At 39.0% G+C, this 24,369-nt stretch overlaps 1 protein-coding gene across 1 annotated transcript; it reads right to left on the bottom strand.

The window, feature by feature from the left end:
- Positions 1-2,227: 2,227 nt before the first annotated feature.
- REXO2 (RNA exonuclease 2) lies at positions 2,228-13,040 on the bottom strand. The gene is made up of 7 exons (NM_015523.4): positions 12,832-13,040; positions 11,768-11,851; positions 8,574-8,651; positions 7,855-7,966; positions 6,420-6,528; positions 4,628-4,681; positions 2,228-2,661 (listed from the first exon to the last, which is right to left on the bottom strand). Exons 1-7 carry the CDS (start codon positions 12,976-12,978, stop codon positions 2,532-2,534), a joined length of 714 nt encoding a protein of 237 aa, NP_056338.2. The 5' UTR covers positions 12,979-13,040; the 3' UTR covers positions 2,228-2,531.
- Between the last annotated feature and the right edge of the window lie 11,329 nt (positions 13,041-24,369).

Below are 24,369 nucleotides of genomic sequence, written 5' to 3'. Positions count from 1 at the left end.
TAAATTTAACTTAAAAATACTTAAAAATAATGAACTAATCACTGAACCAGCATGTCTTCATATATACCTGCACTAGACTGGTTTTGCTTAACTCACAGGCTACCAGTTATTTTATTAAAATTCAACACAAGCTCCACTAAAGGACAATAGAATTAGCTACACAATTAAGATACAGAAGACAGCATTAAAGCAGTAACACCAGGAGTTAAAAATTTTTAAACTGGCTTGAACAGTTAAACAGGTGAATAAACCAGCCAGTTGTGTGGAAGAAACCTTGAGGCATTCATTAATAGCAGTATCTGGTTCCTACGAACCCTTCTTAAGCCCAGTGTTTTCTTATCTATCATCACATTAGAATTTAACATTCCTGAAAGCCAAGTAAGGGCAAAGACCCTTTTGCCAAATTTAGTTGGAAACACTAAACCAAGTCAAGGTCACACTATTAGTGAAGTTTACTACAGTCCTCAGCACAATGTAGGCAGTCATAGGCATTAAGTGAACGCTGATTTAAGATAATGCCTCCAGCCTCATAACTAATCATAGTACCCTTTATTATCAATATTCATTAGCTATCATTACACGATGCTCACTGTGCTGAGCTCAGAACTGTATGAATAGCATTTAAATTAATTCTAACAATTCATTAAGTAACGTTATTAACCTCATTTTACAGATATGGAAACTGAGACTTAGAAAAGCAACTTGCCAAAGTCACTCAGTATGTCAGGGGCCTGAACTTGAATTAAGAGTTTGATTCAAGAGCCCTGTTCTTAACTACAGTTGAACCTTGAACAACACGGGGGTTAGGGGTGTCAAACCCTTGTGCAACCAAAAATCTGTATATAATTTTTGACTCCCGCAAAACTTAACTACTAATAGCCTACTACTGACCAGAAGCCTTACTGATAATATAAAGTCAATTAACATAGATTTTGTATGTTATATGTAAGAGATAATATATTTTTTATACAAACATCAGGAACAATATATATGTTATATTCTTACAATAAAGTAAGCTCTCAGAAAAGAAAGTTAAGAAAATCTTAAGGGAGAGAAAATAAATTTACTGTTCATTAAGTGGAAGTGGATCATCATAAAGGTTTTCATCCTCATGATCTTTACATTAGTGGACTGAGAAGGAGAAAGGGGAGGGGTTGGTCTTGCTGTCCCCGGAGTGGCAGAAGCAGAAGAAAATCTGCATGTAAGTAGACCTCTGCAGTTCAAACCTGTGTTGTCCAACGGTCAACTGTACTACCCAATCCTGCCTTCCAAGCCACTGAAGTTGGTGCATAAGCTAAAACCCATGCCATTCCAGAAAGAAGTGGTCAAAAAGATCAGCAGACTTATGTTTTCATAAATTCATTCTTAGTAGACTCATGAATTTCAGTCTTAATTCACTCATTTGGAAAAAGTTACACTACAATCCCTCTCTCCACTGATACAGCTGTAGTGTAGGTAACACAACTTAGTACATGTTAAAATGTTACTCAAATGAAAATATTATGGGGTTATTCTGATCTACTAGCTAGTGATCTATCTGTAACTATCACACATCAGGATCACGCTACTATGTTCATATCTGTAATATGAAATGTAATTTGACATCACCACAGAAGTCTTCTCACCTAGTGGTTCTCAAGGAAAGGAAAGTAACCTGTGGGCCTTTCCCAATTCTGATTTGTCTTCAAGGGGAATTTGTCAGAATGAGGTGCACAAAGCAATGAGATGTGTTCTACAGATGATTCTATTGCACACTCTGGCTAGGAAATCACCTTAGTACTGTGGTCTAGAATACGTAAACTTAGGAATTAGTATGTTCGAATTGAAATCCTTTCTCAGCTACTTACTGACCATTAGAACTAGGGCAGCAAGCTATTTACATTCTGTAAACCAAGCAGTCACTGCTGTGCATATAAATAAGCCCTAATTATTACTTGCAATAAACCTTAGTTACAGAATCCGTCTGAATTGAATTTCCTGAATGTAGCAGAGTAGCCTAGTCCAGTGCTGTTAATTCAATAACTCTAACAACGAGCCCAAATCTGCTTCTTTAAACTTATCTGCGGTTATTCTAAAGCAAAACATATTCACTTCCTGTTTGACATGAACTTATTAACCGATTCCTAATTGCATTACAAGAGTTTAAACATTAGCCATATCACTTAAAAAAGAAAAAGCCATCTTTTCCCAATAATTAAACTACTAAAGAATAGATGGTACAAAAAGGTTTGCATTTCAATAGAACTAGCTTTATTTACTTATTTATTTATTTAAACAAAAGAAATGGTTTAAAAGCAAATGCATATATGTACCAAGGGATGGACATGACCTGGTACTTACAAAGGAGCTGCTGTGTCATAATGGAAACAGCATATTAGGAGAAAAATAGTATTTCGTGTGCTGTCTGCTTGAGTAATCAATCTGGAGATGCAAGTTAACCGAAGGTGCTCTGCCAAGCCATCAGCGTGAGAAAAAAAAACCACCAGAAGTTGCCTCCAGATAACGATGTAGTGGCAGCATGATAACTGGCATCAACTCACGGTCTTCTCATTTTCCCCATTTTCTATAATTTTCCTCTTCTTTTCATCTATTTTTTTCTTGAAGATGTTATTTCGGTAAAACTGAAGCTCTTTGATGCTTTCACTAATGTCATCAAGTGCCCTATAAGCAAACATACCACAATGAATGAACTGTCCAAAACCAGGAGATGAAAATCATTTTAAAAGTACAACTTTTAAAAAACGACTTAAGAACAATGGATGTTACTGTAAGTGTCACTGTCTAGCATCATCAAAAGTAGAACATTTCAGAAAAGCAATTTTCTTTAAATGCTTTGTTTTTTAAAAACTTTTGACAAAAAAATTTGTAAAATATAGAAGATTAAAGTTTCCCAAATTGTTCCAAAAGATGGCGACATGTTCCACAGGGAGAAAAAATAATTCCACGGTCAAATAAGTTTAGAAAAACTAGAGTAAACTTTTTACTGAAATAAAAAGTTGCAAAGCATTTAATATACTAATGTGTATTATGAATTCCCAAAAGGAAGCTGTCCTATATTTCTAATTTATTAATTTTCTAAAATTAATAAATTTTAGTATTTCTAAAACTTAATCGACCACATTTGTAGAATACTTATAAACAGTTCATGGAACACAGTTTGAGAAACATTGCCCAATACTTGATGATGTCCCTCAACAAAACAGACTGACACACTTGAACATAAGTCATGACTCAGTCATCATAATAAACATCAATTATCAAACAGTACCTAACCATACCAGAGGATCTACCTCCTCTCTCATGGTGATTTGTGCTATAATCAGTGGCAGCCTGCCTCCATCTAAGAGCCTTTCTTTTCTTCCAATATGTTGTTTCTCATCTGTTGTATTCTGAGAAATCAGGTAACCAAGATTATTAGAACAGTGTGCAAGTAAATCAATAAACTCTGAATCATGGGCCAAGGGCCACTTCTAGAGAATTCCCTGCACAAATTTTAGTGCAAGAGTTTTATGACAATTATTTGTGTGGCTAAGGCAACCATCTGCTTTCTTTCCAGGACTTGGATATATGTCAGAGCCGAAGCTGCCAAAATTATAGCCTCTGGCTAAATAAAGGCACACAATATCTTATCCACAAAACTGAAATCCAAAACACACCTGAAAACCCACAGTACTTACAGAACCTATTATGTAGCAAAACCTGAGCAATCTTAATGTGAGGCTATTGACAGTCATCATTACTTATGCCATTTGGTGTGAATATACACGTTTCACTGCAGAATACCTATGTGTTTTATTATGGGCTGCTTCTCAAACCTTGTTAGGGATGCTACAAGATAATAAACAATACAGATGTAGTAACACCTTTCTAAAATCTGAAAAATTCTGAAATCAAAACATACCCCAGTTGTGTCAGATAAGGTAGTCTAGGCCTGTATGCCTGTGCTACAGTCTACATACACTCAATAAAATAATGTAAGAATGCCAGACTCTTTAGGGATTGGTCTTTCTCTATTTGCCTATAACTGTGCAAGGTACATCATAGGGGTTCAGTAAATGGTTTAATAAATGCTACCCTTAGAAGCCAGCTGCTAAACCTCCCATCAGGTTTCATGTTTCTCCTGAAAGACTACAAAATCAAAAAGAAAAGAACCAGTACAGGACACATGAATATACAAGATCTTTAAATTCCTTGTCTACTTGTACCTAAGGCTACAGACATAAGAGAAACAATCAGAAAAACTATAACAAGTGTCAAAGTAGGCAACTGTATTATAGAATTGCACACAAAAAGTGTTCTAATTTCAAAAGGCTGCAAGTCCATATCTTCTGTGGGAAGAAAGTTAACACGGTTCATTACTAGAAAGATTACAGATTGTTTCATCATTCCTATAAACCAAGCTATCTAAGAGTTTTGAAACAGCAATAAAGGCTATATAACCCTCTCAGAATGGAACACTGGAATCCTGACCAGAATTCCTAACAGTAAAAGAATGTTATGTTTATGCTAGTTGAACTTTATCTTTTCCCCGAGAAAAAAGAGTTAAGGGACATTATTTCAAGCAGTCAGGAATTTGGGAGTTAAGTGTGTGTCAGACTGGAAAACGCTTGGTAGAACTCAAACTTACCTATGAGAAGCAGCCTTCTTTGGTGCAAATTCATATTCTTCTGGATACCAGCGTCTATACACAGCAGAAATGGAACTCTCAAAGGAAGCTGTCTCAAATATACTGAACAATTACCTCCTTCAAGTAATCCATTAACATTGAAAATGGCATTTGAGTCATGATTCTCAAGTTGCTTCTTTGCCGGGGCCTCTATCTTCTACCCTCTCCTCTCTTTCTTCTATATATTTTCTATGAGCAAGCTCATCAGTGTGTAAGATTGCTAAATCTGGAAATCCAGCCCAGCCCTCCCTAGAGTTTCTGTCATGGATATGCAACTGCCCACTAGATATCTCCATCTAAAAATCTACCAGACACTTCTAATTCAACATACATCAAAACACACCCACCATTGTCAACACCTCCCCTGCCCCATCCACCATATCTACTCTTCTTCTTCTCCTTTTTATTTGAACACTGCCATCATCCACCAAAGCTGCTCAAACTACAAACATCAGAATAACATTATACCTCTTCCTTTTCACACCACCTCATTCGAACACTGAGTGTCTGTCAACTGACCCTCTCACATTTTTATCATACAAGCCCCTCATTTCCATGCCCTGCCCTTTCTCCAGTTCATTCTTCTCCCCAAGATGGCAGAAAAGCCTCCTTTCAGGCCGGGCGCGGTGGCTCACGCCTGTAATCCCAGCACTTTGGGAGGCCGAGGCAGGCGGATCACGAGGTCAGGAGATCGAGACCACGGTGAAACCCCGTCTCTACTAAAAATACAAAAAATTAGCCGGGCGCAGTGGCGGGCGCCTGTAGTCCCAGCTACTCGGGAGGCTGAGGCAGGAGAATGGCGTGAATCCGGAAGGCGGAGCTTGCAGTGAGCGGAGATCGCGCCACAGCACTCCCGCCTGGGCGACAGAACGAGACTCCGTCTCAAAAAAAAAAAAAAAAAAAAAAAGCCTCCTTTCTATCTTTCTACCACTTTTCTTGCCACCTTCGAATCAGAACGATCGTTATCACTCACTCTTCTACCTACACTTTCTCAAAGGAACCCCATTCCTTGCAAGATCATAGTGAACTTCACTGGCATGGTGTGCAAGCTCTTGAGGCCCTAGAACCACCTCCCACCTTCTCCAACCTCATGCTTTGCACTCCAGCATTAATGAATGCTTTGGGATTCATTTAACACATTTTGCCTTAGCTTCCTGCTCCCTCACATTCTTATACTTCTGTCTGCTCTCTCTGAATGCTCTCTCCTCAATAAAATGCCTGCAAGACTTCCACTCTTCTTCACATCTCAATTTCAAAGCTATTTCCTTGCTATGTAAAGGTTTCTCTGACTCCCCATTCCTCTTGCTCCAGCACAGTTAGATGCTGCTTCCCTTGTGACCTCACTAGTCCATACGCACATTTTCACTATAGGAGTCATCATAGAGTATATTTTCAGGGTGCGTTTTTTTACACATATGTCGATCCACTATTTTCTAAAGTACTTAAGAGCTTTTCATCTATATGTTCCCAGTCACAAGACTTCCACATAATATTAGTTAATCCAGAAAATGTATTGAGCACTTATTTTGTGCCAGGCATTGGCTTATTTACTGGGAACATGTCTGACGTTGTTGCTCCCAATTCTCACCAGTCCAGGGTAAGTTAAGGTCCTATACAAGCAAGAATGGGATGAGGAAGATATGAACCCACTTGGTAGCCTTAGTTCTACAGCTCTATCCAATTACTTTCCACAAATTCTCAATTAAAACATGCTAAATGAGGTAATTTAATGGATCCTAAATATAGCCCTTACCTGCACAGTTCTTTAACAGTGCTCACATCAATTATTCTATAATGAAGATGTTTCATGAACTGGGGCATGTATTTGTCAAGAAACTTCTTATCTTCATGAACTGAATTTCCTAGAAAGACACGAAGCATACTGCATCTCTATATTTCTAGTATTATACAACAGGATATCAAAATTCATAAGTTGTATTTGAAATGGAGATGATTTTTTAAAATTCAAACAATTCCTAAAAGCACCTCTATATTTCTAAATCAGGTTTGGGTAAATGTGATTAGCTTACAAGTACAGATTTCCAAGTACTTAGTCAGTTTAGCTCCTTATAAATTTGTAAATGACCTCTCATGAACAGAAGGACAAATCTATCATTCCACATGCTTGATGTAATGCACAAATCTATTTGTTACTTTCTAAGGTCATACCTGATATGCAAACTTTCTCCCAGTGTCACAAAATTCACACCACTAACACTAAAAATTTAACTGAATCACATAGGTAGATAAACCTTTATTTACAATCCAAATTTTTAAACAAATCATATGCATATTTATGTCCCCAAAAAGTAACTTATACTAAAAACACTAAATTTTAAATGAGACCTTTAAAACAGATATCAGCCACATTGGCTGGCGGAAACATTTACACAATATATGCTCTAGTACTTAATGCCAAAACTTATTTTTATAAATGTTTAAGAACAGTATTAGCTACCACATCGACTTACATATACAAACGTACATATACCTTCAGAGAAACATTAACTTCCCTCTGGCAATGTCACCCTTTTAAAAATCCTGGTAGAACAGGCCTGGTCTCTTTAGAAAGTCAATGACACAGGGGAAAAATAATAGGTGGAAAGTTTTACATTAAGAGACTAAAGAAATATAACTAAATGAAATGCACGAGCCTTGACTGAATCCTGGTTCAAAAACAAATATTTTGGGGAACATCTAATGTGGACTAGATATCATATGATACTGAATAATGTTTAATTATCTTCAATGCAATGACATTGTATTACATAAGAAAATGTCTTTATCTTAGGAGATGTTTGATGAAGTATTTAGGAATGAAGTGTCCTGATGCCTGCAATTTCCTTTAAAATGTCCAACAAAAAATAGGTAAAACAAATACGACACAAGGTTAACAATTACTAAATCCACTCCTCTGTGCATGTGAAATTTTTCCATCATAAAAATATGGGAGAAATTCTTATTGAGTAAGTTTGTGTTTCCCAGATCTCATGTCAGGTTTCAGGGCATTTTCCCAATACTCATGCTATAAACTACACAGAGAAACTTGAACAGAAAAGTTAAGATGTGTAACCCAAAGCAGGGTTAAGTGGAAGACATGGATGGGCTCGGCTAGTCTTTCTGGAACTGCAGTCTCTTGAACCACTACATATGGAAGACTATAAGATATACACAGGATTGGATTTTACCTGCAAGTGGACAGAGCCCTGGAGGAGTCTGCTGTCGTACAAAGGACAGAAATTCATACTCTGCCTGCTGCAATGTAATTGTACTCTCCTTCACTGCCTTGGTAAGGCCAGACTGCAAGAGAGAATCCCCAGCCCCCCACCAAAAACACATGTAAAGTCAGTTTTCAAAGGCATCCAGAAATGAAATTTCACTTTTAAAATGGGCAAATATAACCACAAATAGACCATTTTTAGAGCTCAAGTTCAAATTGCAACTGCCATCTTTGCACCATTTTTTTTTCTTCAAGAATCCAAGCCAACTTAGTTATGATCCTGACTGTTAATAGCATGTCCACAGTCAAAAAAGACGGTGTTCAAAGTCCAAGGATATTAACCTCTGGGAAGAAACAACTATTAACAGGAGAGCAGCAATCCCCCTTCTCTGAAAGTTGATGTCTAACCTTATCCAAAAGACTGACTTGAGTAATACTTGACAATCCACAATGCGTTCGCGACAGACTGAATGTAGGAGAGAAAAAAAAGAGGACATTCAGGAGAAGATGATCTCGAGAGGTCCCAAAGATGAAAAGTAAACAAGCAAGCAGTTTCCCAGGCTTGCCATGCAATCTTCTCTAAGCCTTTTTAAAATACCATCCAACAATGGTATCGGATTCAGGTGTGGGAGCAAAAAGCTTGCTACTGATCCCCAAAGCAGCAATCCTGTTATTTGGTAATGTTACCTTCCCGTGATGCTCCTTACACCAATCTGACATGCTGTCCAGCAACTCATCTGGTTGTTTTATAATCAGGTTAGGACCCTGTGGATGGGAAACGCCATCAGTCACCAAGAAACAACAGGAATAACCTTACTTTCAGAGGGAAAGCTTAAGCTGTTTTAAGGACTAAATATACATATCAGAGAAAGTAAGAGATAAGGATACTTTAAGTGTTCCCCCTTCATTCCAGCACTGTTCATTAAGGCAAAATAGAACATACGAACATACACACACCACTGAAAACTCTAATCCTACAAATAGATGACACAGATATCTATCAAGGGTCAGCAAACTATGGCCCCACACTTCAGCTATTTATTAATAGCTAGAAAGCTAAGAATGATTTTTACATTTGTAAAAGATTGTTTAAAAAAAAAAAAGAACATATGACAAGAACATATGACTGCACTCAAAGCCTAAACAATTTAATAACTTGCTCTTTCCAGAAAAGTCTGTCAACCCTTGATTATGAGTTCATTTTGAAAAGTGTCTAGGCCAAGCATGGTAATCCCAGCACTCTGGGAGGCCGAGGTGGGAGGATCACTTGAGGCCAGTAGTTCAAGACCAGTCCAGGCAACATAGCAAGACCTCATTTCTACAAAATTAAAAAAAAAAAAAAAAAAATTAGGTGGGCCTGGTGGCACACCCCTACAGTCCTAGCTTCTCAGGAGGCTGAGGCAGGAAGATCACTTGAACCCAGGAGTTCGAGGTTACAGTGAGCTACATGCCACTGCACTCCAACCTGGGTGACAGGGTGAGACCCTATCTCTTAAAAAAAAAAAGTATCTATATTGCAGGTGAAAAAAACAATTGCAAAACCATGTATGTATAGGTATGATTTCATTTACACTTGTTTTAAAAAAAACACGCATTTATATAAACATACAAAATATCAAGACAATACATAAACTTGGAGTAAGAAGGAGCAATAGAACAGGACAAAAATCCAATAGTTCACTACACACATACTTTGGATAGTTACACTGTTTTAACAGTATTTTTATATTTAAAAAAAAATTAAAGAGGTAATTGTTGATATCCAAAACACAAAGTAGCCCTCAAATTCTCAGCTCCATTTCATAGAACATCCAAGTATGAGTCTCTCAGATAAGTCCTGGCAGTTAACAGTAGCTACGGCATTAAAGCAAGTCACCTCAGCTTCTCCCTCTGTAAGATAGTGATAATAATAAACTGTACCCCTTCCCTCATAGAAATGTTAACAGGATAAAAGAAATTATAGATATGAGCTCTTTGAACTCTCTGATAGAAAAGTATTCCATAAATCCAAGGTATTATTACTACTAAGGTGGTAAAAACAGTTCACAATCACTGAAAGAAATGGCTAGAATTTAATTAAAATACGCCTGACATCCTACTACTAAAAAGGAGATTTAGCCAAACAAGAAAACTGGTGTTGGTAATCTCTGCGAAGAAACAAAAAATTTTGCTTGGATAACAGATGTTTTATGATAGTCACGAAGGAAAAAGAAAACCCAAACCTATGAAAATGAAAAAAAATACTCATACTATTAAAAAAAATACTAACAATGATGGAAAAATCAAACTACTACAAACTATTTTAGATCCCTATTTAGCAAGCCAAGGGACCACACCTACAGAAAAATTTTCAGAGTAGGATGCCTGCTCTTCTACCAGCATAAAACATTTTTCTCAGACTCTTATAAAAGAATAAAACATACTGCAGAACTGATAGCCCCTAAGCTTTTTTTTTTTTTTTAACATCTTTATCCTCATCTGACTTAGTCCATTTACAAATGCTGCATTCATCTGCAGCTGTGTGAATACATACCCAAATTTCCTCCAGGGTACATATCAACCTACGGGTCCATTAAACTGTCAGTATTTCACATTATATCAACAGTCTAAAGGAAACACTCTTCTTCGGCCAAGGGTAAGTTAGACTGGTAAAATAAAGACACTTCTCTTCACTATTGATCTCCAATAAATCCCAAGTAACAGAAAAAAACAACCAAATCTAAAACTCAGGGCTTTATTTATACAAAGTTAAAAAAGTTGTTATGATGAGAAGTACAAAGTCTCATGATTCTCCTACAGTTGATATGTGGGGAGGATAAGCCTGGTACTCCACAAACGCAGTCATTAATCTAGAAATACGTCCTCACCTCTTTTACCTACACAGCAAAACAAACAAAAGTGTTAACTGCAGATTTACGAAATGTATCCAGTGCCAGTAACATATCAATGCTACCCTCTAGGAACTTATTTTAACAAGACTCTCTTTTCCACAAACATCCCTACTTTGTTCCTATTCTGGAGTTTCTGGCTCTGAATACTGCTGACAGTATAAAACAGAATTATTCAGGGTCAGGGATTTCACCCCCTACCAGATGGTGTCACATCCTTATTAAATGTTTCATGAGTGGCTGAAATGCAGCAGGTGTGTTTTGTTTTGCTAAATGTTTCAGTTGGAAGTAGCATGCAAAAACCTTAATCATGCCCAATCTGTCAACAACAGAACACTTTACGGGTGTGCACTAACAGAAATTCTAAAATCTTAATACTGATCTAGAAGAATCACATGTCCTAGTTGAAAAGGCAGAATTGTAAATATGGAGTCAAGTTAAAGTCAAGGTTATGATATAAAGACGCAAACATTGGCACGAGTCACCAAATCTGATGGGAGGACAGCTGGCTGTCCTACTTGTTAGGAGCACCTTACTGAGACAGCCTGAGTTAAACTCTTGGCTCCCCCAGTAAACAGCCACTGGGACCTCAGACAAATTACCCAACATCTCTATGCTCAAGTGTCCTCATCCATCAAATGAGCATTATAACAATAACTAACTTATAGTTGCTGTGAGAACTAAGAACAAAGACATATAAAGCACACAGAAACTGTAGCTGGCATACAGTAAGCGCTCAGTAAACGACAGAATTTATGTTTCTGTAAATTTCTGGCATGGTTAATTAAAAAATAATGTTTAATTTTTAATTTTCACTAGGCTGTGAGATGGATTACTTTGGTTCTAGTACCACCCCTACCATGACCTAGCACATTACCTTAACCCATATAGACCTCAACTTTCTTATTTTTTAAATAAAGAAGCTGGAAAAAATGATGGTTATATTTCCAGTGCCCTTTAAAAAGTATGACTGTATTACATGGCATCACGTACTTCAGCCAAAATGTTGAGATCAGAGTCAGTTATCAGACAGGCCATCTCAATAATCTGGTCCTTCTCAATGTCCAATCCTGTCATCTGCAATTAAAAATAAATATATAACACACACAAAGCCATCATTCTGGCCTCTTTTACCCAAGTTTATTTAACAGGAATTCCCTCAAACATAGTCAGCTTGTAATCCATAGCCGAAACAGAAGAGAAAGAATGCTCCTCGGGCAACTACTGAAGGTACTAAACACGAGTCCTCGTTTATTCAACAAACATTTACCAAGGGCCTGCTATTTGTCAAGCACTGAGATTCTACTCCGGGACAGATGCAAAGTAAGTAAAACTGAGTGCTGACATCACTCAGTTTTGGAAGAGTTGGATAACTACCACCACCACGTCTCTGCAGAGTTTACAAAGTTTTCACATTAATTACACCACTGGACCTTCACAATCTAATGGAAAAACTACTGTTATTATCCTCACTTCATATAAACTGAGGCTCAACGGTGGGAGGAGCCCTTGTTTCGGGCATGGAAAGCCTGAAGGGATAGGAACTGGGTTCTGGTCTCAACTCAGACTCTCACTAACAGCACGACCTTGAATGAGTTGAATCCTTTCTGTGGGCCTCAATGTTCTCACTTATGGAATGAGGGGTAAGGCTGAGTCATCTCCGGAGTCCCGTCTGGCCCTAACAACCTAGGGTCCTTTAAGGATTTAGTTGGGGGAAGCTGGGAACAGAGCCGCTGCCCCCGCCCCCACTCCAGTGACCCAAGCCCAGAGACGCCAGAGCGTTAGGAAAAGTCCACATCTGGGCGGAGGGGTAGGGAGGAGAAGAAGCCACACGGAGGACTCCTCCCTTGTGGAAAGAAGCCCTACAGCGCAGCACGGCGCCCAACACCCGCAGGACTCCTGCCTCCGGACTTGCCCTGCACCGCCCGTGGCCGGCCGCGCTCACCTGCCACACCTGAGACCCAGACCCCCAACGCTCTCCCAGGACGGGCTCGACTCCTCGGTTCCACGAGCGAAACCTCACTCGCCTCCCCAAGCCCCCCGCCGACCTCACTCACCTCCAGGTCCACCCAGACCATCCGCTGAGCCATGCTCTCCCCTGCCGCCATGGCTGCGCCACCTTCGCGGACACCTCGGGCCCCGAACCGTCCGTGACTCCCACCTACACCCCGCAACAGCCTGGAGCCCAGGGAGCCGCCTAGCATCACCCGGGACCAGCAGCCACGGCCCCAGTCTCGCAGCCGGCGCTGGCGCAGGCGCAATAGTCGCTAAACGTCGCAAACCCACGGGGAGGCGCACGAGCTGAAACCACACGTCCCAGCGTACGGTGCGCCGGCTCGCCCTCAACAGCCTGGCTTGGCTGCCGAAGGGAATGATGGGACTTAGAGTCTCACCTGCGGTTGCGACCAGATGCCCCACCCCCGCCACGTGTTTTTCTGGTGTTACTGGACGCGCTTGTTTTTCACTGCTAAGTTTGTTTGCTTCCAGGAGTTATTTCCTGAGTTTTGGTTAGTTGTAACCGCGCAGTTAAAAAAGAACTCTTACTTTGGTTGGTTGGAAAAGAGCTGATTATCTCTGTATGACATTTTTTTCATGTATATCTTTCCTTCTTTGCATTTCTTTTTCTTTTTTTACTTACCTGCCCCTCTATTCCACAAACTGGATATTTTCCTCATTTATTTGGGACCAAGAGGCAGTGTGCTTTTGGGGGCCAGAAGGCCATTAACATTATCATCAAATCATTTAGAAATATTTAAATAAGATCTTGTCTGAGAAATCATTTAGCACGTATCAGGTGTTCAGTCAAAGTTAGTTACCTTCCTTCTTTTTCTTATGGGAAAGCGGTCCAGATCCAGACCCAAAGAGTGGGTTCTTGGACCTCCTGCAAGAAAGAATTCAGGGCGAGTCCATAAAGTGAAAGCAAGTTTATTAAAAGTAAAGAAATAAAAGAATGCCTACTCCATAGGCAGAGCAGGGGCATGGGCGACCGAGTATACTTACACTTATTTCTTGATTATATGCTAAACAAGGGGTGGACAATACCGGGAACTGAGGGTTCTCCGCTTTTAGATCATATAGGGTAACTTCCTAAGGTTGCCATGGCATCTGTGAACTGTCATGGCGCTGGTAGGAGTGTCGTTTAGCATGCTAATGTATTGTAATTACTGTATAATGAGTAGTGAAAATGACTAGAGGTCACTTTGTCATCTTGGTTTTAGTGGGATTTGGCCAGCTTCTTTACAGCACCCTGTTTTGTCAGCAAAGTCTATTGTGACCCGTATCTTATGCTGACTTCCTATCCCTTCCTGGCACTTAGAATACCTAACCTCCTAGGAATGCAGCCCAGTAGGTCTCGGTGTTATTTTACCCAGCCCCTATTCAAGATAGGGTTACTCTTCAAATGCCTCTGACAATTTGGCCAAGGATTATCCCTTATTTCTTATGAAATGCGGCCTGCATTTCAGTTCACCTATTAGGTGTCTGCATGATGACAACTTGCTACTCTGTTCTTAAAAGTTCTCAAAGTTAAATTTCGTCCTCCTATAACAAATCTATGCAGCAAACTAACTTAAAATGAACTAAAACAGTTCTGCCTGCTCTGCCATCTTCTTGGGCTTTGATCCAGGTGTCTTTAATCTCCTGCAATGACTGCTATAATGTCTATCATTTCTAGGAGTCCAGGTGGCCAGCATCAGGACCTTTAGGCCCTGGAGTGTCAAATTTTGTGAGTCTCTTAAATCTTGGCTATTCAGTAACAGATTTGTGGCAGAGTGCCGCTTTGTCACAAATATCAATCTCGGCTTTGAATTATAACCTCTATGTATTTTTCTGAAAGCCATATTGCTACTCATTACAGAGCTTGTGGTCCATCCTACCTGGTTTTATGAGAGAGAAACTTTGTTGCCTAATAGGAGCTTTAAGGAAAGTGTAGGGTACTGGATTTCACCTTCTACTGATTTTGTGTACCCAACCCACCACCTGCAAGGGCCTAGAGAAACTCTTTGAAGGGCCATCAAAAGGTATGCACAGATTATACACATAAAGACTTACTGTGCACAATGCGTATATATTTTACCTGCATTGCCTGATGTCGCATTGTTTTACTATACCTTTTTACTCATTTGTGGCCTACTTTATGAAAAATGGTGTGCATTTCTTCTTTAGTTTTTTCTTAGCTTTAAACTCAATTCATAGAAAGTAGAGTCAGTTGAGGCCAGGCACGGTGACTCACACCTATAATCCCAGAACTTTGGGAGGCTGAGGCGGGCACATCACGAGGTCAGGAGTTCGAGATCAGCCTGGCCAACATACTGAAACCCCGTCTCTACTAAAAATACAAAAATAAACTGGGCATGGTGGTGCATGCCTGTAGTCCCAGCTACTCGGGAGGCTGAGGCAGGAGAATCGCTTGAACCCAGGAGGCGGAGGTTGCAGTGAGCTGGATCACGCCACTGCACTCCAGCCTGCACAGCAGAGCAAGACTCTGTCTCAAAAAAAAAAAAAGTAGAGCCAGCTGAAGTACAGAAAACTTTATCAATTGGGCTTTTTATTATCTTCTTAAAGTATTATGTATTTAAAATTTTAAAGAACACCATTTTTTTCGACTTTACTACTGGAATAATGTTTCTAACATGACATGGCTAAGGACACACAAACCCTTCCCTCTTTTGAGAGATAACTACTTTTTTACATATTTTTTAATTTTTATTTTTTAAATTGTGATAAAATATAGATAATATAAAAATTTACAATTTTAGCCATTTTCCACATAAAGTAGGGGTCCCCAACTCCTTGGCTGCAGATCGGTGCAGACTGGTACCAGTCTGTGTCATGTTAAGAACGGGGCTGTTCTGCCAGAGGTAAGGGGCGGGGGAGCAAGTATTAGCACCTGAGCCCCGCCTCCAGTAAGATCAGCAGTGGCATTCGATTCTCATAGGAGCACAAACCCTGTGTTGTGAACTGTGCATGCGAGGCATCTAGGTTGCGTGCTCCTTATGAGAATCTAACTAATGCTTGATGATCTAAGGTGGAACAGTTTCATCCTGAAACCATTACTCCCCCACCCCCATCCATGGAGTAATTATCTTTCATAAAACCGGTCCCTGGTGCCAAAAATGTTGGGGACCACTGGTATAAAGCATGGTGGCATTCAGTACATTCACATTGTTGTGCAACCATCACCACCATTTATCTCCAGAACTTTTTCATCTTCCCAACTGAAACTCCATCCCATTAAACATTAACTCCCCGTCTCCACCCAACCACCACTCCCAGCCCCTGGCAACCACGATTCTACTTTTTGTCTCTAAGAATTTGACTACTCTACGTACCTCTTACAAGTAGACTTATGCAGTATTTGTCTTTTCATATCTGGCTTATTTCACTTAAACTGTCATCTCCTCAAAGTTCATCCATGTTGTAGCATGTGTCAGAATGTTCTTCCTTTTTCAAGCTGAATAATATTTCATTGTATGTATGTATCACATTTTGTATACATTAATCCATTAATGGACACTCTTGTTGCTTCCACCCTGTGGCTATTGTGAATATTTACATGGTTTTTAATTTTTATTTTTATTTTTATATTTTATTTTATTTTTGAGACAGGGTCTCACTCTGTCACCCAGGCTGGAGTTCAGTGGCATGATCACAGCTCACTGCAACCTCCATCTTCTGGGGCGCTCAAGTGATGCTCCCACCTCAGCCTCCCAAGTAGCTGAGACTATAGGCACAGACCACCACACTGGGCTAATTTTTGTATTTTTTGTAGAGATGAGGTTTTACCACGTCGCTCTGGCTGTCTCGAATTCCTGGGCTCAAGCAATCCACCCATCTCAGCCTCCCAAAGTTCTGGGATTACAGGCATCAGTCACTGCTCCCAGCCCTAATTTTATTTTTTATTGCTCCCTTCTTACCAGTGACTTTCCCAGACCAGTTTTGTTCTTCCCAACTTCTGAACAAAGATCACTGTGATAATCAATCCACAAGTGACCACCCACTTCCCTGGTCCCTCTTTAGAGTTATCCCAAATCGTATCTTTAAAAGTCCTTCTCAGCCAGGCATGGTGGCTCACACCTGTAATCCCAGAATTTTGGGAGGCTGAGGTGGGAAGATCACTTGAGACCAGGAGTTTGAGACCAACCTGAGCAACAAAGCAAGATCTCATCTCTAAAATAAATAAATTAACTTAAAAATTAAAAAAAAAGAATTATCCAGGTGATATAGTTTGGACCTGTGTCCCTGCCCAAATCTCATGTTGAATTGTAATCCCCAGTATTGGAGGTGGTGCCTGGTGGGAGGTGATTGGATCGTGGGTGTGGATTTTCTCATTAAGAGTTTAGCACCATCGCCTTGGTGCTGTCCTCATAACAGTGAGTGACTTCTCGCAAGATCTGGCTTTTTAAAAGTGTGGCACTTTGCTATCTCTTTCTTGCTCCTTCCCTGGCCATGTGACATGCCATTACCCCCTTTGCCTTCTGCCATAACTGTAAGCTTCCTGAGGCCTCCCCAGAAGCAGATGCCATCATGTTTCCTGTACAGCCTGCAGAACCATGAGCCAATGAAACCTCCTTTCTTTATAAATTACCCAGTCTCAGGTATTTCTTTATAGCGGTGCACAAATGGCTTGATATAAAAAATTGCTACCGAGAGTGGACCATTGCTATAAAGGAACCTAAAAATGTGGAAGCAGCTTTGGAACTGGATAACAGGCAGAGGTTGGAAGAGTATGGAGGGCTCAGAAAAGACAGGAAGATGAGGGAAAGTTTGGAACTTCCTAGAGACTGGTTAAATTGTTATGACCAAAATGCCGATAGTGATATGGACAGTGAAGGCCAGGCTTAGGAGATCTCAGATGGAAATGAGGAACTTATTGAGAACTGGAGCAAAGGTCATGCATCTTATGCCTCAGCAAAGAGCTTAGCAGGATTGTGTCCATACCCTAGGGATATGTGGAAGTTTGAATGCGAGAATGATAACCTAGAGTATCTGCTGGAAGAAATTTCTAAGCAGCAAAGTGTTCAAGAGGTGACATGGCTACTTCTAACAACCTATGCTCAGATGTGGGAGCAAAGAAATAAGTTGGGACTTATATTTAAAAGGGAAACAGCATAAAAGTCAGGAAAACCTGCAGCCTGGCCGTGTGGTAGAAAATAAAAGCAGCCTCGAGACATTGCTCCTTACATCCAGCTGCTTGGGCTCCAACCACCACTCTAAGGGGTGGAATGATATAGTTTGGATACATGTCCCCACCCAATCTCATGTTGAATTGTAATTCCCAATGTTGGAGGTGGGGCCTGGTGGGAGGTGATTTGAACATGGGAGTGGGTTTCTCGTGAATGGCTTACCACCATCCCCTTGATGCTGTTCTTGTGACAGTGAGTGAGTTCTTGCAAGATCTGGTTGTTTAAAAGTGTGTGGCACTACCCACTCCCTTGCTCCTGCTCTGGCCATGTGATGTGCCTGCTCCTCCTTCACCTTTCACTGTGATTGTAAGTTTCCTGAGGCTTCTCAAGAAGCCAAGCAGATAGCAGCATCATGCTTCCTGTACATCGTTTAGAATCATGAGCCAATTAAACCTCTTTATAAATTACCCAGTTTCAGGTATTTCTTTATAGCAATGCAAGAATAGCCTAATACACCTGGCATGGCGACACACACCTTTAGTCCCAGGTACGCAAGAGGCTGAGGCAGGATGATCATTTGAGCCCAGGAGTTAAAGGCTGCAATAAGTCACGATCACCCCACTGCACTCCTGAGTGACAGAGTGAGATTCTGTCTCTGGAGGGGAAGAAAAGGAAAAAAGTCCTTCCCTACTTTCTCTTAGGAGAGGCTCCTGGTTCCTCATGTTAACTGTTACAGGAAGTTCATAAACCTAACATTGTTACAATTATGTTCTTTGGGAACTTTATCTGATATACTTTATCACCATTCTATTAAATTAGAGTTTAATTTACAGAATATATTTATTTTATACTTTTATAGTACTAGCATAGAGCCATGTAGTAACGTTGGCAGTACTGGTTAGTGGTCACCAAAGTACTGAAACTATCTCATGCCTATAAACTGTCCTATGGTTTAAAAGCATTTAAAAATATGCAGTAGGTACCCAATGAATACTCACTGGTTAATAATGATATCTCTTCTCTTCCTGTTTTGTGAAACTTTATCTTGATAAATGTTGATATAAGGGTTTATTGCTGATAACTGATAACTGCTGTTTACATCCCTCCAGTGGTCTGGGAAGGAATAAAGGATGACAGATCTTTTGGCTTTACCGTCTGTCGCTGTAAAAACGCAGGATAAAAATAGTGGCCAAACTTGTAATCTTCAAAAATCCACCTTGTACAAAATGGATACTCTAAAAGTTTTTATGAAATTTGAATTGAAGTTCTTCTCAATTCAGTTCAACAAAGAATTACTGAGTACTTAGTGTGTATCCAACACTATGCTAGACTACAACAATAAAAAAAATACATCTGTTAAACTGATATTTATTATACTGGACACCATAGGTATTTAAGTATTTATGAACTTGGAGTTGTTTCTTTTACAGATAAGGAAACGCCTTTAATTTTCCCATCTGTAAAATGGGTTATATGATGATTAAATAAAAACGTATAGAACACTGTATACATTACGTAATAGGTGCTCATTTGCTTTGTTTCTTTAAGCAAATGGGAGATACAAGACAATATAAAGGAGATGGTGCCAATGCTTTAAAGAATTATAGAGTGCTATAGGAATAAAGGAAAAGGGGATTCATTTTGACTGAAGAGATACAGGAGGATGAAACTGGGTTAGCTCTTGAAAGAAGAGAACTATGACAACAATTGCTGTGGGTAACAATATCCCAGACCGATAGAATACCTTGGACCTAAGCAACTAGGATGATTGTGCCTTTAAGTGAAAGAGAAGAACAGGAAGAACAGGTAAGAGTTGATGAGTTCAGTTTTGGAAAGACTGAAATTGTGTTTCCAGAGGGAGATCTGCAAGGGGATATCTAGCAGGCAGCTGGAAAGAGGGCAGGGATAGAGACTTGCGCTTAGAAGGCGACTACGTAGAGAAGATACCTGAAGCTATGGGAGGTAAAGCAATTGCAAGTTGTCTAAAAAGTGCAGCTATAGACCCATCTTAACCTTGAGAATTTTATTTCTTGCAAACTAATTAGCACATAAAGCAGATCCTCAATTTAATTTGTGCATGTCGGCACATATAGAACAAATTGTTCGTGAAGCAAGCCAGCCTAAAGTCTATTTCTTGGAAAAGTAAGGAGTGCCCTGGGAGAAAACTCAGCTAAAGGAAAAATCAGCCAGAAGCAAAGAGCATTGTACAGCATGATAGCTAAGTTGGAGGGAAGGAGAGAATCATTCTGACAGCACAGCAACTGTCATGTTGATTTGTCTCCTAGCCTAGTCCTTACTGGACTCATGTCTAAGGCCAATGGCAGACAGAGAGCCGCAGGTTTTCTAAAAGGGCTTTTTCAATAAAATGCACATATAATAATGTATCACACAACACTGAGTTCTCTGGTAGCACAATTTTTAAAACAGATAAAACTGACGCAAGGCAGTAGCAGGAATGGGGAACAGAGAGGAATGTTTACTCTTCACTTTTGATATTTCCTTCCATGTGGAGGAAGTGCCTCTAGCATAATATTCCTGGCCCCTTGCACCTGGCTTCTCTTGTTCCCCTGTAAAAAGGTGAAGTAAACATCAAGATTTGGGACACAAATTAGACATGGGCAATCTAGCGCCATCTTTATTTTTCTAACCACTCCTCACTAAAGGAAAAATCCAACTACGTCCTTGCTCACTTCACCAGGAACCACACTGAAACAGTGGCATTGTGAGAATTCTAGTATACTTGCCAACCAAAGCAAAGACAGTGTCCTGACAGGGGAACTTTTTAGGAATCCTAGAAATGCTTGGGCAGGAGGCTTTGGAGAGAGCAGTTATCCTGTGTTATTCAGGTGGGGGACATCAGAGAGTTATTTCTGTCAATGTGGTATCACACACTTGCACCCACATGCTACTGAGATTTAACCACCTCCCATACTACCAACTTACCTGGTGATCTCTAGGTGTCTTGATAACAAGCTTGAATCGATTAGTAGTTCGCATTGCAGCCAAATTCAGACAACTCTATCATTTTGAAGAGTCCAGTTTTAACTCCATGAGAAATTATGACATCAAACTAGAGTAATCTAAATGATTATTGGACAAAAGGAGATAGGTGTGAATAAAGATTCAGTGCAGGCCATGTATAATAAAAAAAAGACAATAGGCTTTGGAGACAAACAAAGCTGAATTCAAGCCCTATCTCAGCTACTTTATATCTGTATTTCCTCAAACAGGTTGACACTTGCAAACTAATTAGCATATAAAGTAGATCTTCAATTTAAGGTGTACATGTTGGCACATATAGAACAAACTGGTGAAAAAGCCTGCCTAAAGTCTGTTTCTTGGAAAAGGAGTGCCCTGGGAGAAAACTCAGCTAAAGGAAAAAGCAGCCAGAAACAAACACTCTAATCTTTTTGGGATTCATTTTACTCCTTTTAAAAATAGTTAAAGCACTACTTCATTTGAAGAATGATTGTAAAAGTTTGCGATAATATTTGTGATAGCAACATGATGCCTGGCACATGGTAGGTTCTTAAGTAGTATAAATAAATCACTTATTATTACTTAATAAGCCCACTCCACTGAACAATTGTAAACACCGATCACTTCTCATCATGTAGCCAACATTTGAGAAAACAAATTGTGACAGAGACTTGATAATTACGTATCAAATACACCTCTTTCTTCGTTAAAAACATATTTTTGGTGTTTAGCTGGGCACTTTGACATCCTTGTGGCTGGGTATGGTCATGTGACTAAGTTCTGGCCTATGAAATTATGGGATTTCCAAAAGTTTTCTTAAAAGGAGTTGATTTAGTTGAGAAAATGCTCCCGTGGCTGGGTTCTTTTGCCTGTAATCCCAGTACTTTGGGAGGCCTAGGTGAGAGGATCACTTGAGCTCAGGTGTTCGAGACCAGCTTGGGCAACATAGCAAAACCTCATCTCTAAGAAAAAGAGAAAGTAAGTGCTCCTTTACCCTTCCTGATATCTGGAATTTTGGCTTGGCAATGATGCCCCAGTGTCTATATTGAAACATGATGTGATTTTGAGAATGAAACTAGTGGTGAGGACAGTGGAAGACAGTGAAGCAGAAAAGAACCACCTAAGTCTCTTGATGGTGGCTCAGGGGAGCTTTCATTCTAACTGGAAACTTAAGTCATGTAAAAGAAAATCCCTAGTAGATTAAGCCACTATGTTTACCACCTAACCCAATTTCTAACTCATACAGAACTCACTGTGGAGAGTGCCTATATTTAAATGGTGAGTAAGGAAAAGAACTCAGAAAAGGAAACAAATAGCTGTTGGTAAGAATGGGAGGGAGAGATTCAAGAAAATGCAGCCTTACAAAATTAAAGGAAGAGAAAGTTTGACTGAAGATGTGAAGGCATTGGTATTAGACTCAGGATGAGGTCTCAAAAGACGTCATTGTATTTCTCACTAGAAGCAAAATTCTACTGCAGCTTGAGAAACAAGAGAATTGCAAGTTGATAAAACACAGGAAATAAATGTTCTCTTTTGATATCTTAGAGAGAATGAAAGAAAAGTAGTAAAGGAACAAACTTCGCTAAGAGTAAAGAGTATATTGCAGCCAAAAGAGAAAGCTTAAGAAATGAAAGAGGCGGAGAGAGGAATAAAACTTAGAAAGGGATATATGCAAAAGATTCTGAAAGAACAAAACCATAGGCACAGATGCACAGCTATTGGACAAGCCTTAGAATTATCATTTTTATAAAGGAAACTTCTCCTTTGAATGACCTGTTTTTCACTGATTATTTTTTATTGATTTATATTCACTGATTATGTTTCACTGACAAAATGTTTTTCAAATGTAAGTGCTGACAACAGTAATTTTATTTCTACCTGGTAAATTAAGTACCATCTTCAAATACTTGCATTACATTTTAAATAAGCATAACAACACTCAGTATTTAATATTGAACAGGAAAAGATTTTACAACAACAAAAGTCTTCATATGGAAACGCAGTTGTTGGGGAAACTACATAATTAGCTTAAATGGGCCTTCTATTTTTTTAAATTGTAATTGATAAAGAATAGACTGAGAGTAAATTAATATAGCAGAAGCATGTTCAGGAAATCAAATGCTCTTCAGAGCTTACCATGTACCTCTAAATTTCAGTCCCCATTTTGTGCCACAACTGAAGTTTTTAATAATTTTTTTTGTTTCATCTAATTGCATTTTGTTTTACAAAAATTATAAAGGTGATAATGCTAAACTTAGGCATTCCCATAAAGGCAGACTCTACAAACTCCTCAATACTATTTCATTCCAGGTATTGTCTCTATTTTGCTTCCTATAAAAATCAATAAGACGAATTATATGAATGTATTAATTTATTGCATCTACACCCAAAATATGTTTATTATGTGTCCATAAAAAATACATCTTTTAAAGCAATAAGAAATATGTGCTTCACTTTAGAAAACACTTTGATTACTAATCCTAAACATTCTAAGCAGGAGGACATCTCCCATTTCCTGTCTTCTAATTTGACACTGACTTCAAAGTGGTCTATTAATAATTTTATTCCAAGGGGAAAAAATAGGGAATAAAAAATGACAGACATAAAAAAATTAATGTTATGTTTTTTTGCCACATATAAACAATTGTTTCCAAAGCCAAACATTTCATGGGGGTTGGAGAGAGAGAATATGTGGTACCTACCTCAGTGTTTCACCGTGGGTTTAGGAGTCAGAAATATCGACGTTCAAATTCTGACTCTACTGATCACTGCGTGACCTTGGACTAGGAATAAAACCTATCTAATTGCTTTTTCCTCCATTTATGATTTATTTTTTTAAAAAAAACTATCCCCTACTTTTTGAAATTACTGTGAAGATTACATCAGCTCATGTGTCAGCCACATCTTATGATAAATGAATGAAATTATTTATAATTATAATTAAATAATAAATGAAAACTATTTTATTATATTTGCTTCTCCCTCAGAAAATACATTTTGGCAGATATCTGAGAATTTTTTAATAGATATTCCTTTTTCTTTTTAGGTTCTTAAAATTCTCCAACGGCATAGCAACAGAGAACAGGACATTTGGCAATTCAAAAACTGCTATGCTTCCCCCTCTTTTTTTTTTTTTGGAATTATGTTTCTGTAAAAGTTCAGTGAGACAGGAAACAGAACAATACATATATTCAAGAACTCTTGGCACTGGACCACTCCTAACCTGCTTAATTTTTTTTAGATTAGTTGTTTTTAAGAGCTGCTCAAAAACTAATCACCTATTTATTTCTTTAGGAAAGAAAATGTGAAAGTTTGGTGATAGATAACCAAGTGGTTGATTAAAATAGAATTATTTCCATTCACTATAGTCAAAAGGTGGAAACAACCCAAAGTGTCCAGCAACAGATGAATGGATAAACAAAATGTGGTACACACATGCAGCAGAATGTTATTTAGTCATAAAATAAAATGAAGCTCTGATACATGTTACAA

This window comes from Homo sapiens, chromosome 11 (assembly GCF_000001405.40).
Source record: "Homo sapiens chromosome 11, GRCh38.p14 Primary Assembly".
In the NCBI taxonomy this organism is placed as follows: domain Eukaryota; kingdom Metazoa; phylum Chordata; class Mammalia; order Primates; family Hominidae; genus Homo; species Homo sapiens.
The sequence above is the reverse complement of the archived record's forward strand: the minus strand, read 5'-3'. Positions and strand labels throughout refer to the sequence as shown.

Bases quoted from the DNA above. Each gene is read 5' to 3' on its own strand.
- REXO2 (NM_015523.4), bottom strand. From the start codon at position 12,978: ATGCTAGGCGGCTCCCTGGGCTCCAGGCTGTTGCGGGGTGTAGGTGGG. The intron at 6,529-7,854 runs GTAAAATCCAAT...GTGTCTTTCTAG, and splicing joins AGGGCTCTGTCCACTTGCAG to GAAATTCAGTTCATGAAGAT. The intron at 2,662-4,627 runs GTAAGTTTGAGT...GTTTGCTTATAG, and splicing joins AAGAAGGCTGCTTCTCATAG to GGCACTTGATGACATTAGTG.